The sequence below is a fragment of the Homo sapiens genome, chromosome 9, assembly GCF_000001405.40.
Source record: "Homo sapiens chromosome 9, GRCh38.p14 Primary Assembly".
Lineage (NCBI taxonomy): Eukaryota > Metazoa > Chordata > Mammalia > Primates > Hominidae > Homo > Homo sapiens.
The window spans coordinates 98,879,703-98,892,823 of NC_000009.12; the positions used below are offsets into that span (position 1 = coordinate 98,879,703).

General features: G+C 44.7%; 1 pseudogene; it reads left to right on the forward strand.

Annotated features, from left to right (window-relative positions):
- On the forward strand, nucleotides 10,705-12,374 carry NME2P3 (NME2 pseudogene 3; annotated as a pseudogene).

A 13,121-nucleotide genomic window follows, 5' to 3' on the forward strand; every position in this document is an offset into this window, starting at 1 on the left:
AGAAACAACTGCTTTGCAAACAAACACCTCATGTATTTATTTCCTCTGTTTTCCTCACATCTCTCATCTTTTCCCCTGAATGAGATGCCTCCTGGTTTCACTTAATTTCCACAGGAAACTGGAAGGAGCCACATCTGTCTAAATTCTCCCTAACTCACTCCAGATTTTCAGGGTCAGAATATGGCCGCTGAGAGTCAGGGTCTCTGTGGGGTCAGAGGTGACAGCCCCAGAATTGGGGTCTTGTGCCGAGCCCCTTATGGCAGGGGAGGCCAGGCATCAGTTCCCTGCACGATACAGATGTTCAGCAAGGATTTTGTTGGGAGCATAATCAGCGGCCAAGGCAGCCCCTGGAGAGGGGAATGTGGGCCTCATTCCCATGGGCTCCTGCCCAACGTTCCTTCGTTCCTGAGTTTTATGTTCCTGGGAGAGGCTGGAGGCCGAGCAATGCTCCAGCTCCACAGCAGCTGCCCCCTTCTCGGAAAGGCAACAACCTCTTTCCTCACATGGCCTTGGGACGTTGGACACCCAGCTCGGGGACATTGTTTTGTTCACAGCTGCATGCTCATGGCATTTATTTAGGGGACACTTTCTCTTCTGCCACCTACAAGGAGGCAGCTTGGAGCAGAAGGAGCAGAGCTGAGCCTCCAGAGATGGAGGTCTGTTCCTGGAGAAAGTGGCTCCCTCTCTTTGAGGCTCAGTTTCCTCATCTGTAAAACAGAGCAGGCTGGCCCAGGTGGCATCTAAGGTGATGTGTGAACAGCTGTGGACTTTGGAGTCATGCAGACTTGTGTTCTGCCTGGGCCAGTTGGCAGCTGCGTGGCCGTGGGGAGGTCCTGAACCTCCCCAGCTGCGGTGTTCTGTCCTCATCTGTGCATGGAGGACATGGGATCAGGTCATCTTGAAGGGCCTCGAGGGCTTAGTGATGAGGCCAGGAGAGCCCACTCTCAACAACGATGCTGAGGAAAAGCATTTTGTGTTCTCCCTCTTGGCAAAATATTTATAATTCTATGCCTGTTGGAACCAAGCAAGGTCAGCACAAAAGAATTGGCCCTCCACTATCCTAAGAAAACTAAAGCAGGAACAGTAGAGCAAATACCACATGCTCTCACTTGTAAGTGGGAGCTAAACATCAAGGACACGTGGCCCCGAGGAGGGGAACAACAGGCACAGGAGCCTACTTGAAGGTAGTGGATGGGAGGAGGGTGAGTTGGGTGCTATGCTCATTGTCTTGGTGGCAAAATAATCTGTACAGCAACCCCCTGTGACACTCAATTTACCTATATAACAAACCTGCATATATACCCCTGACCCTAAAATAAAAGTTAACAAAATAAATAAGTAAAACAAAACATATGGGAGACCGAGGCGGGTGGATCACCTGAGGTCGGGAGTTTGAGACCAGCCTGGCTAACATGGTGAAACCCCATCTCTACTAAAAATACAAAAATTAGTCGGGTGTGGTGGCACGCACCTGTAATCCCAGCTACTTGGGAGGCTGAGGCGGGAGAATTGCTTGAACTCGAGAGGCAAGGTTGCAGTGAACCAAGATCATGCCACTGCACTCCAGCCTGGGCAACGGAGCAAGACTCCATCTCAAAAAAAAATAATTTTTTTAACAAAAGAAGAGGCATCCATGATTTACCCTTCCTCCCACCCCTTGCCCCCAGTCTCCACAGATCAGTGGACTGTTTTTTCCAAAGCATAACTGGATGACTCGTTGGGTTGTCCTCTTCCTGCACCCCACCTTACTGTGTCCTCTCACTCACCCTGACCCCTTTCAGACCCTTCAGCAGTCCAAACTACAGCCTCTTCTGGAGCTTGCATTGTCCAAGGGTGACAAGAAGCAGCCCCAGTGGGTGAGGATGGGAGGGCAGGGTGGGGGTTTAGCTCCTCCAGCATCTTCATGTGCATCTCCCAAACCCTCCATCTCAGAAATTCAGGGTGCTATTGGTGTGTGATGATGTTGAGCCATCCAGGTCCCCCGTTCAAGGTGCTGGCAGTCCCCTGTGCCTGCTGCACTCCCGCCCTCCCCACCCACTGCTCCTGCTGGCTGCCTCCCCTCTTTCAGATCTTGGTGTCCTGTCACTCTCCATCCTGATGCCTTGTCTGTCCCCCATCTCATCTTTCAGAGCCCCGGGTGCTTTTTCTTTGGAGAACTCATCATATTTGTAGTTATACATGGGTCTCGTCCTCTCCCATTTGATGCCTGGCTCTTGCAATGGATTATAAATGCCAGGAGGGCAGAGGCCATGCTGGCCTTACCGTATTCCCATTGCCTCACATAGTGCCTGGGAAATAGTTGGCTCTGGACAAATCGTTGTTGAATGACTGAAGAAATGAATCACCCAGTGAATCTAGAATTTGGTGGCAATGTGAGCGCAACAGGAAGGCAAGTGGCCGCAAATCATGTTGTACTAGTTACAGACTTTGGCACTAACATGGTGGGCACTCAAATCCTAGTGGTGACCCTGGGGACTCCAGGAGGGCAGGCTATTTTCCCTCTCAGCCCCACAGAGGAGAGTATCTCAAGAAAGAGAAGGTGTTCACCTGTGTTGAGATGTTCCTGAAAGGCCAAGGAAGAAAAGGACTGAGGTATGTCTATTGGACTCAGTCACAGGAGGTTATGGTGACCTTGACAAGAACAGTTTTAAAGGACTGGGGAGTCGGAAACCAGACTGCAGGGGAGGGAGCAGGAGTCAAGGAAGTGGGAATTGTGAGTAGAAATTACTCACGGAGACTATTTCTAGACACTAGACCAGGAATGGGAGGAGAGATGTCATTAGCTGTTTCTTACCAAGAAGGATCACATCAAAATTCATTTGGAAAATTTTTGGAATAATAAAAATGATTCATCTACTAGATGGCCAGCAAAATAAGATGCCTCAACCCCTAGTCCTACTTCTCACCAAAAACTAGACTATGAGAATTGAAGGGACCTCAAAGGCCAGAGGATTCCAACACAGCCCTCTCATTCCATAGACGAGGTGCCTGAGGCCCAGAGAGGGTCAGGGATGTGCCCAAGGTCACACAGCAGATGAGGGGGAAAGACAGGTTTTGAAGCAGGCTCCTGTATGCTCAGCCCATGGCTTTTTCCCCATATTCCATGTCTTTCTTTCCCCTGTCCTTTCTAAACAGTCGTTATTGACTCCAGGAAATGGGAAAGATAGTTATTTTTAGTTTATTCAAAATGAGTAAAATGGGTAATGTTTTTTTTCTCCCCAATATATCAGATCCGAAATATGTCTTATGTAAGAGCTAACTGGGATGAGAAATGGTCGCACAGTGAGAACAAAGATTTCTTTGACTATTAAAAGTTCCAGAGTGAACCCTAAACTGGCCCAAATAACTGGGCTCAGCTCTCCTTGCCTAGCTGACAGAAGAAGGTTGGGCAGGGCTGTGTGTGTCTGTACATGTGCAAGTGTGTGTGTACAAGTGAGCACAAGTGTGTGTATAACAGGCTCCCTCTGTGGGGTGATTTCTAGAGCACCAAGACAAGCACCCTGAATCTGAACTTCTTTGATACTATTTATCATCATCATCATCATCATCATCATGAGTAATTCTACTAACATATGTATAAAATTTACCATCTTAATTATTTTAAGAGTATACTTCAGTGTGTTAAGTACACACATGTTGTTTGTTGTGCAACCATTACCACCATCCAGAATTTTCCAGAAAACTTTTTATCTTGCAAAACTGAAACTCTGTACCCATGAAACAACAGCTTCCCATTCCTTCCTCCAAGGCCCTGGAAATCACCATTCTAATTTCTGACTCTATGAATCTGACTTCTCTAGAGACCTCCTGTAAGTGGAATCATATGATGTTTATTCTTGTGTGACTGGCTCGTTTCACTCTCAGGACTTCTTTCAGTGTGTGCTCCTCATGCCCCCAACACCCCATGAGACACCCTCATTTCAATACCTCTTTGAGTGTTTCCTTGTGCCCCCAACTGCCCATGAGACACCCTCCTTTCAGCACCTCTTTGAGTGTGATCCTCGTGCTCCCAACCCTCCATGAGACAACCTCCTTTCAGTACCGCTTTGAATGTGATCCTTGTGTCCCCAATACCCCATGAGACATCCTCTCCTTTGGCAGAGGATTTGATCCTTGGTTGAAGAGTGGCAAGCAACCCTGGGAAGGAAGCATTTCAAGCTTTATTGGAACTTTTTCTTTAGTGCCAGTCAATGGATAATTCCTTGAGAGCAGGTTTTGATAGGGTAGGGGTGACCCTAGTTGAAAGCCCTGATTGATTATGGGTGGGAAGAGGGAGAGACCTGATGACAGAGAAAAAAAATTGTTCTGCCTGGAAAAATGTTGCTGGGATCATTATAAGTGAATCCACGAAATAGCAATTAGTTTTATAACAAGCCACTTCTGACATTTATGTCCCTAGGTGTGTTGACCTCATGTTATGCTCTGACTTGATTCCTTGGGGAGTCATAAATTAAGTGTCCTCAAAGGACTGCTAGCAATAATCATAATAATCCTCTTGTATTTTGGTTGCATTCTACACTTTGGGACACACTTTCATTTATATTATTTTATTTGATCAAAATGACAACAATGTGTGCTCGTTAGAATATGACTTATCATCTTCATTTTTCAGGTGAGGAAGCCGAAGTTCAGTGGGTGGAAGGGACCTGCTCAGGCTTGTACAATCACTTGTTGGTATCACTGGATTGAGAACCCAAGTCTTTAGCCCAGGCCTTTTTCCACTGTTCCACATTTTGCTGGAGTTTTCTCCCCTCTACCTCTCATTTGACCTCAGACTCAATCCTTCTCCAAGAATAACGCGTCACTATGCAGATGCTCAAATTAGAAACTCCAGAGTTGTCCTTGACATTCCCTTGCTCCAGTTTCATATCCAGTCTTCAATTAAACCCTGTCGTTTTTAATTCCTGAATATGTTTTCAATACTCCCGCTTCTCTGCAAGTCTGGACCGGCAGCGTCCAGGCCTTTTTCTCTTACCTGGAGTTAATCCTTTAGACTGTCATGATGCCATTTCTGTTCTTCTCTTCCTCTGTTATTTCCCGGGAAATGTGGATTTGAACAAGGTTAGACGAGTTTTCATATTGTAGAATTTCTCAGACCTTCTGATCTGCTAAGAATGGTCATGGTGACTTGCCAAAGTAAGGGGTTGTGTGTTTGCCATACCCTAAAATTACTTGATCTTTCCTGGACCCCTGCGGTTTATCTCTACCCTCTCCCCCATCCATTTTCCACGCTGAAGCCGCATACACCTCTGCTAACTGCAAAACTGCCCTCCCCATCCCTCCCCATGCTCCTCCTACCCCTCTGGCCTTCCAGTCCCTCTGACATGTGGTAAGATACACATGCCCTGCCAGGGTCCCCTCTGCCTGACTTCTCTATCACCAGCTGTGGCAGTGTCGGTTGCTGGTGCTCACAGCTGTCTCCTCTGGGAGCCACCTTACCAGGGAGGCCACATTCCCTGGAGCTCCAGAAGCATCTCATAACCAATATCTGACATGGTGCTTGCAGTGCCTTTTACTTATTTCTCTTTCTCTTTATTTTCCAATAGCTGGGACTACAGGTGTATACAACCATGCCCAGGTAATTTTTATTTATTTATTTATTTATTTATTTTTTTAGAGACAGGGTCTACCTATGTTTCCCAGGCTGGTCTTGGACTCCTGGCATATTAGTCTGTTTTCACACTGCTGTAAATAACTACCTGAGGGTGAGTAATTTATAAAGAGAAGAGTTTTAATTGACTCACAGTTCTGCATGGCTAGGGAGGCCTCAGGAAACTTACAATCATGGCAGAAGGTGAAGGGAAAGCAAGGTATATTTTACATAGTGGCAGAAGAGAGAGACAGAGAGAGAACAAGTGGGGGAGGTGACGCACTTTAAAACCATCATTTCTCATGAGAACTCACTCACTCTCATGAGAACATCATGGGGGAAACTGCCCCCATGATCCAATCATCTCCCACCAGGCCCCTCCTCTGACACGTGAGGATTACAAGTCGAGATGAGATTTGGTGGGGGACACAGAGCCAAACCATTATCACCTGGCTTCAAGTAATGCTCCTGCCTCAGCCTCCTGAGTTGTTGGCGTGAGTCACTGCTCCCAGCCCAAGATTTATCGTTGTTAAAAGGTCATCATGCTGGTGAGGAGATCAGAACCCAGGCATTCTGATACACAGCTGGTAGGAAAATAAGTTAGTACCACCATTTGAATATGGCCCTTTGGGGCAGAGAGTTTGTCTCTGTGTTCACCCCTGGATCTCCAGTGCCCAGAACCATGCCTGGCACTTGGGCATTCAATTAAAATTTGTTGAATGAATGTAAGACAATTTGACAATACATCATGAAGCTTAAGTTTTCATATCCCATTGTTTAGTAATTCCACTTCCTAAGGAAACTCTTAAAAATTAGAACAAAGATATTTGTATAAGGACATTCCTCACATTCATTTTTACACTCATAAAACTGGAATCAACCTAAGTGTCCACAGGATGGTGACTAGCTTAATTACGGCACATCCACACTGAGAAATCTGATATAATTGATAAAAATAACATATTCAAAGAATATTGGGCATATAGGATTATGCTATTGATAAATACTAAGTGAAAACAATTTAAAACTCTATATACAGTATAATCTTAATTTTGGGGGAAAAAAACCCAAATCACACTTGTTAATAGTGGGTTGCAGTGATTTTACTTATTTCTTGTTCCCTTTATTTGCCAAAATGCCCACAATGAATATGTGTTGCTTTTGTAGTCAGAAAAAAAAAAGCTTTGAAAAGGAAAGCATAGTTTATAACAAAATTGTGAGCAGCTAGGAAAAATGGGAATAACTTGTAATAGTATTTTTCCCACTAATACTTCATAATAGATCATTTTATGGTAGGTTAAAGAACATACCTCCTTATTAAATTGGCCTGGCTTTGTCTGGACAACAATGAGGATTAGATTTCATGAGACACTTTGCGTTGTTTTCATGCTCTTAGTGTATATTTTTCCATGACTTGGAAAATCTTAAAATACTGGCTCCACTTAAAAAAAAAAGTTTCACAACTCCTTTGACTGGAATTGATTTCTCCTGTGGCTCCAGGGTCTGTAAAAGGCATCAGGATGCCACAAGGCATTGACCTTTATTCTTCGCCTCGGTCAGAGAATTTCCCTATGACTGGCTCAAGGTTTCCAAGAGGAAGGCAATTAAATGACCTAGCACAATTGCATGGATCCTCGGCCCTGGGCTTATCTTGATTAGGAGGAAGTGGCTATCTAGTTGTTCCAAATTTAGAGCAGAAAAGAGCCGGATGTCTAAGACTATCACACAGAGAAAGCCTTAACCCATTGGGGCTTTTGCCCTACTCACCACTTCCCTGATATCTGGCTGTGTCCATCTTGACGCAGAGCACAGGGAGCTTTGGGTTACAATTTTCCCCTTCCCAGCAAGTCTGTCCTAGCTTCAAAGTCCACTGAGAGGCTCCTTTCTGTGCTAAGATTGAGAAGATGCTGGGCACATACCTCCTGAGAGATTTCGTGGCTTATGCTAAAGGTTCTGTCATCTCTAAGACTGAGTTCAGAATCCTGAGGCTGGTGGTCAAGACCCTTCACCATCTGGCCCCCTGCTGCCCCTCTCCCATTGTTCATCTCTACTACAGTGACAGAGAAGTGTTTATGAGAGTGAACTCCAGGGACTAGAAACAGATGTTGTCCCTGCCACCAGGAAGCTTACGGAATAGTAGGAAGGTAGAAATTCAGCACACGGAGGGGAGTACATTCGCAGCCCGGCAGAGATCTGGCCTTAAAGACCAGATTGGCTTCTTCCTAGTTGTATGATTTTGGACAAATTATTTTATACCTCTCTGTCTTTGCCATCTCATCTGTTAGAGGGGGATATTAATATTACTAATAATACCAAATTCATAAGATGTTTGTGAGCTTTACATTATTTGATATGTGTGAAGCACTCAGTACAATGTCCGCTATATACCTTTGTCCCTCAGTATCCATGGGGCATTGGTTCCAGGGCCCCTCCAAGGATACCAAAATTTAAGGATGCTTAAGTCCCTGGTATAAAATGGTGTAATATTTGCATAGAACATGTGCACAACCCCCAGATACTTTAAATCATCTCTAGATTGCTTATAATAGCAAACACAATGTAAATGCTATGTAAATAGTTGTTATACTGTATTGTTTAGGAAATAATGACAAGGAAAAGAGTCTGTACATGTTCAGTACAGAAGACACCATCCATTTTTCCCCCTGAATAATATTTTCAATCCACAGTTGGTTGAATTCACAGATGCAGAACCTGCAATATGGAGGGCCGGCTGTACTCAATGCTTAGTACATGTTAACTCTTAGAGAAAATTCATTCACTTAGAGAAAATTTGCTGAGCTCTGACTAGGTGCTGGGCACTGTGCCAGATGCTGTAAATTCCAAAGGGGATAATGCACAGTCCCTGGCGTCATTCCAAAAAAACCCCGTATTTTACTGATGGAGATGCAAATGGGAACGGACCAAGGTAGCATAGCTCCAGGCACCTTGTTCCAGAAACTCTGGTCTCCTCTCTTTTCCAAATGTGCCATGCACTTCCATGTTCTGTGCTGTTGTTCCTTTTCTCTAAAAAGCTTTCCCTTTTCCTCAGCCACTGAAAACATTCAAGATCTGGCTTATGGTGTGTCATCAACACCGTGAAGCCTTCCCTGACCCCCAAACCAGAATCATGGACTCTCCTGTGTCTCCATCGTGCTTTGTATAAACTCTCTGCCTCTCATCTTCCCCTCAGCCAGGGCTGGTCATTAGAGGAACATCTCCCAATAGGCTGGAAGCTCTTTGAAGGCAAGTTTTATGCTTCACTTATTTCCATGTCCCAGTGTCCAGCACAGGGCCAGGCACATTGTAGATGTTTAGGAAGTGTTTGTTGATTGAATGAATGAATGAAAGCACATCTCACATCATAGAATAAATTGCTGCACTGATAGTGAGGAGAGATGCTTCCTTTCCAGCATAATATTCTATGAGACCACAGAATTTGCTCTGCAAATAGTTGGGTTCCTTCTACTTATTCCATCTGCTGCTGTGAACAAGGCTAAGTTTACTTAATCATAGGTAAGTTGGAGAAAGTGCCGGCCCAAGGGGTCTGGCCTGAGCATGGCTTTCCAATTGTAATATTGTCAGGAGCATCCTGAAAGGGTTAAGACCCTTGCCTTGGTGCTGGTCTTGTGCCAGTCCATTTGGTGTTCACAGTGTAGAGATTATTTAACTGGAAATGGAAGCCAGTATTAAGGCCAATATTGCAACAGAAATAATTGAATGTAAAAACCACATGTGCTTTGGGGACTGGGACACAGAAATTTAATTTTAGTTTCCTCACTTATTTGTCGGGTGATGTAGGGAGGCTCTTTCCTCTCTCTGAACCTCATCCATTAAATGGGGATCATAGGAGGCTGGAGTTGGGGAGGTTGGACTGATCAATCTGTAAGTTCCTTCCGGCTGTGATATGCCCTGTCTGTCACTTCTATGATATCAGATAAATGAAAGGCCAACTGAAACAAATTGCTGGAAAGTGATGTGGAGGGAGTTCTGGGAGAGGATCCCAGTCCTCATGAGGTCAAGCTCATAGTTTAGGAACCAAAAGCTCAGAAATGCTCTGAAACCACAGACGATCAAATCCACCCACTGGAGATTCAGCACATATTTGCTCAAAATTGCAAACTAAAAGCAGACATTTTTGAGTTGTTTGGAGGATGCATGGCTAGACCTAACCTGGGCGGTGAGTGTACAGGGCAGTTCATGCAAATGGGAGAGACCCTGTCTGCTGTCTGGGACCTGCATCCTATTGGCGGGAAGGGCGTTCCTGGCCTGCCCACCCTGGCCATCAGGACATAAAGATTCCTTGCTTGGGTCTTGCTCAGGTACTGTGCTTTAAGAACCTGAATGTTCTTTTGACTCACTATTTTATAGAGACAGCAGCAGGGTCAGTTGAGAAGAATTGAAACCCACTCTCAGAAGTGACTTGCAGCGCATACTTTTTTGAAAAAAATTGAGAGGTAATTCACACACCGTAAAATTTGCCCTGTTCGAGTATCTAATTCAAGGGTTTTTAGCATATTCCCAAAGTTCTGCAATCATCTCTGCTGTCTAATTCCTGAATAGTCTCATCACTCCAAAAGATATATTGAGGCCAGGGGCAGTGGCTCACACGCCTGTAAGCCCAGCACTTTGGGAGGCCGAGGTGGGTGGATCACGAGGTCAGGAGTTTGAGACCAGCCTGGCCAATATGGCGAAACCCCGTCTACTAAAAATACACACACACACGCACACACCCACGAAAGCTGGGAGTGGTGGTACACACCTGTAGTCCCAGCTGCTCAGGAGGCTGAGGCAGGAGAATCAGTTGAACCCGGGAGGCAGAGGTTGCAGTGAGCCGAGATTGCGCCACTGCACTCCAGCCTTGGCGACAGAGCAAGACTCCGTCTCAAAAATATATATCTCTATCTCTTGTGTATGTTAGCAGTCACTTCCTACTCCCCTCTCCCCTGTGCCCTTGGCAACTACTTTTGTCTCTGTGGATTTGCTTATTCTGGACTTTTCATATAAATGGAATCATACAACACGTAGCCTCCTGGGTCTGGCTTCTTTCATTTTGCATAACGCTTTTAAGGTTCATTTGTGCTGACTATATTTTTCTGAACAATTAAAAATTACAGGCTCCTGCAGCACAGTGCAGGTGCCACCTGGCCCAACCAGCTTCTTGGACCACGGCCAACCTGAGTGCACCTTCATCACCATCAAGCCAGACAGTGTGCAGCATGGCCTGGCTGGCAAGATCGTGAAGTGCTTTGAGCAGAAGAGATTCCACCTCGTGGCCAGGAAGTTCCTCTGGGCCTCTGAGAACATCTGAAGCCGCACTACTTTCACTGGAAAGACTGCCCATTCTTCCCGAGGCTGGCAAAATACAGGAACTCAGGGCCTGTCTTAGCCATGGTCTGGGAGGGGCTGAATGCGGTGAAGACAGGCCGAGTGATGCTGGGGGAGACCAATCCAGTGGATTCTAAGCCACACACCATTTGCAGGGACTTCTCTAGTCAGGTGGGCTGATGCATCATTCATGGCAATGGCTCAGTAGTAAGTGCTGAAAAAGAAATCAGCCGGGCTGGGCATGGTGGCTCACACCTGTAATCCCAGCACTTTGGGAGGCCAAGGAGGGTGGATCACGAGGTCAGGAGATCAAGACCATCCTAGCTAACACGGTGAAATCCCGTCTCTATTAAAAATACAAAAAATTAGCTGGGCGTAGTGGCGGGTGCCTATAGTCCCAGCTACTCGGGAGGCTGAGGCAGGAGAATGGCATGAACCCGGGAGGCAGAGGTTGCAGTGAGCCAAGATTGTGCCACTGCACTCCAGCCTGGGTGACAGAGCGAGACTCAGTCTCAAAAAAAAAACCAAAGATGTCAGCTTATGGTTGAAACAACAGATGCTGGAGTGGATGTGGAGAAATAGGAACGCTTTTACACTGTTGGTGGGAGTGTAAATTAGTTCAACCATTGTGGAAGACAGTGTGGTGATTCCTCAATGATCTAGAATGAGAAATACCATTTGACCCAGCAATCCCATTACTGGGTATATACCCAAAGGATTATAAATCATTTTACTATAAAGACACATGCACACGTATGTTTATTGTGGCACTGTTCACAATATCAAAGACTTGGAACCAACCCAAATGTCCATCAATGATAGACTGGATAAAGAAAATGTGGCACATATACACCATGGAATACTATGCAGCCATAAAAAATGATGAGTTCATGTCCTTTGCAGGGACATGGATGAAGCTGGAAACCATCATTCTCAGCAAACTAACACAAGAACAGAAAACCAAACACCGCATGTTCTCACTCATAAGTGGGAGTTGAACAATGAGAACACATGGACACGGAGGGGAACATCACACACTGGGGCCTGTCGGGGGCTGGGGGGCTAGGGAAGGGATAGCATTAGGAGAAATACCTAATGTAGATGATGGGTTGATAGGTGCAGCAAACCACCATGGCAGGTAGCATGGCACCTATATAACAAACGTGCATGTTCTGCACATGTATCCCAGAACTTAAAGTATATATATATTAAAAAAAACCAACCAAACAAACAAAAAACAACAACAAAAAAGAAATCAGCCTATGGTTTAAGCCCAAAGAACCAGTTGACTACAGATCTTGTGCTTATGACTGGGTCTATGCATGATAGGTGGACACAGTAGCAGTCTCTTTCAAGAACTGCTTGGAGTGTCCTTGGACATAGCTCTTCATTCCACTGACTTAGAAGCAGAAGCAACAGAATTGATCATTCTTTTCTAGAGCATATTTACCCATAAAGCCATGGAAACTAGAAAAAAATGTGTATATGCCTATCAACCTTCCAATAGCATACATGTGAGCTTGGTGTGATCTACCAACCTCTACTTAGTAGAACGAATAAAGGGCTGGGCTAGTCTAGCTAGGTCTGTTCCAGGTCCTCTCTTCTTCATTAGTCCAGTTCAATTTTGGCCTTTTAAGAAAGATGCAGACCTTTAAAATTAAGAATAAAATCTTTGATAGTTTCATTTTTTTGTTCCATCTTTGCTGGCAGGTTTAAAAGTCTTTTCCCTGCCCAATGTTATTTAAATACATGTACATATTTTCCTGCGTGTGTACTTAAAACATACTTTCATGGTTTCCTTTTTATGTTTACAGCTTTAATTCTTCTGGAATGTGTGAGTGGTGTGAGGTAGGTATCTACTTTTATTTTTTCTCATGTGGTTAGCAAGCTGCACTGCCACACATTTTTTCCTCATTGACTTGGAAACAACAGCATTACCATATCCTACTTTTGACATATAGTTGAGATTACTGATGTACTTTCTTTCCTGCATTGGTCTGTCTTTCCTTCAGCTGCTAACATACTGTTAAATTTCTTGCCCCTTTATGATATAATTTAATATTTGTTAGGATAAGTTCATATTATCACTCATATTAAAAATCCCTAGTCATTGCCGTGTGTTTATTATTCTAGCTTAGCTTTGTTAATGTAATATGCTTCTTTTGTGTAATGTGCATTGCTGCATTATTTAAGAATTTTAAATTCT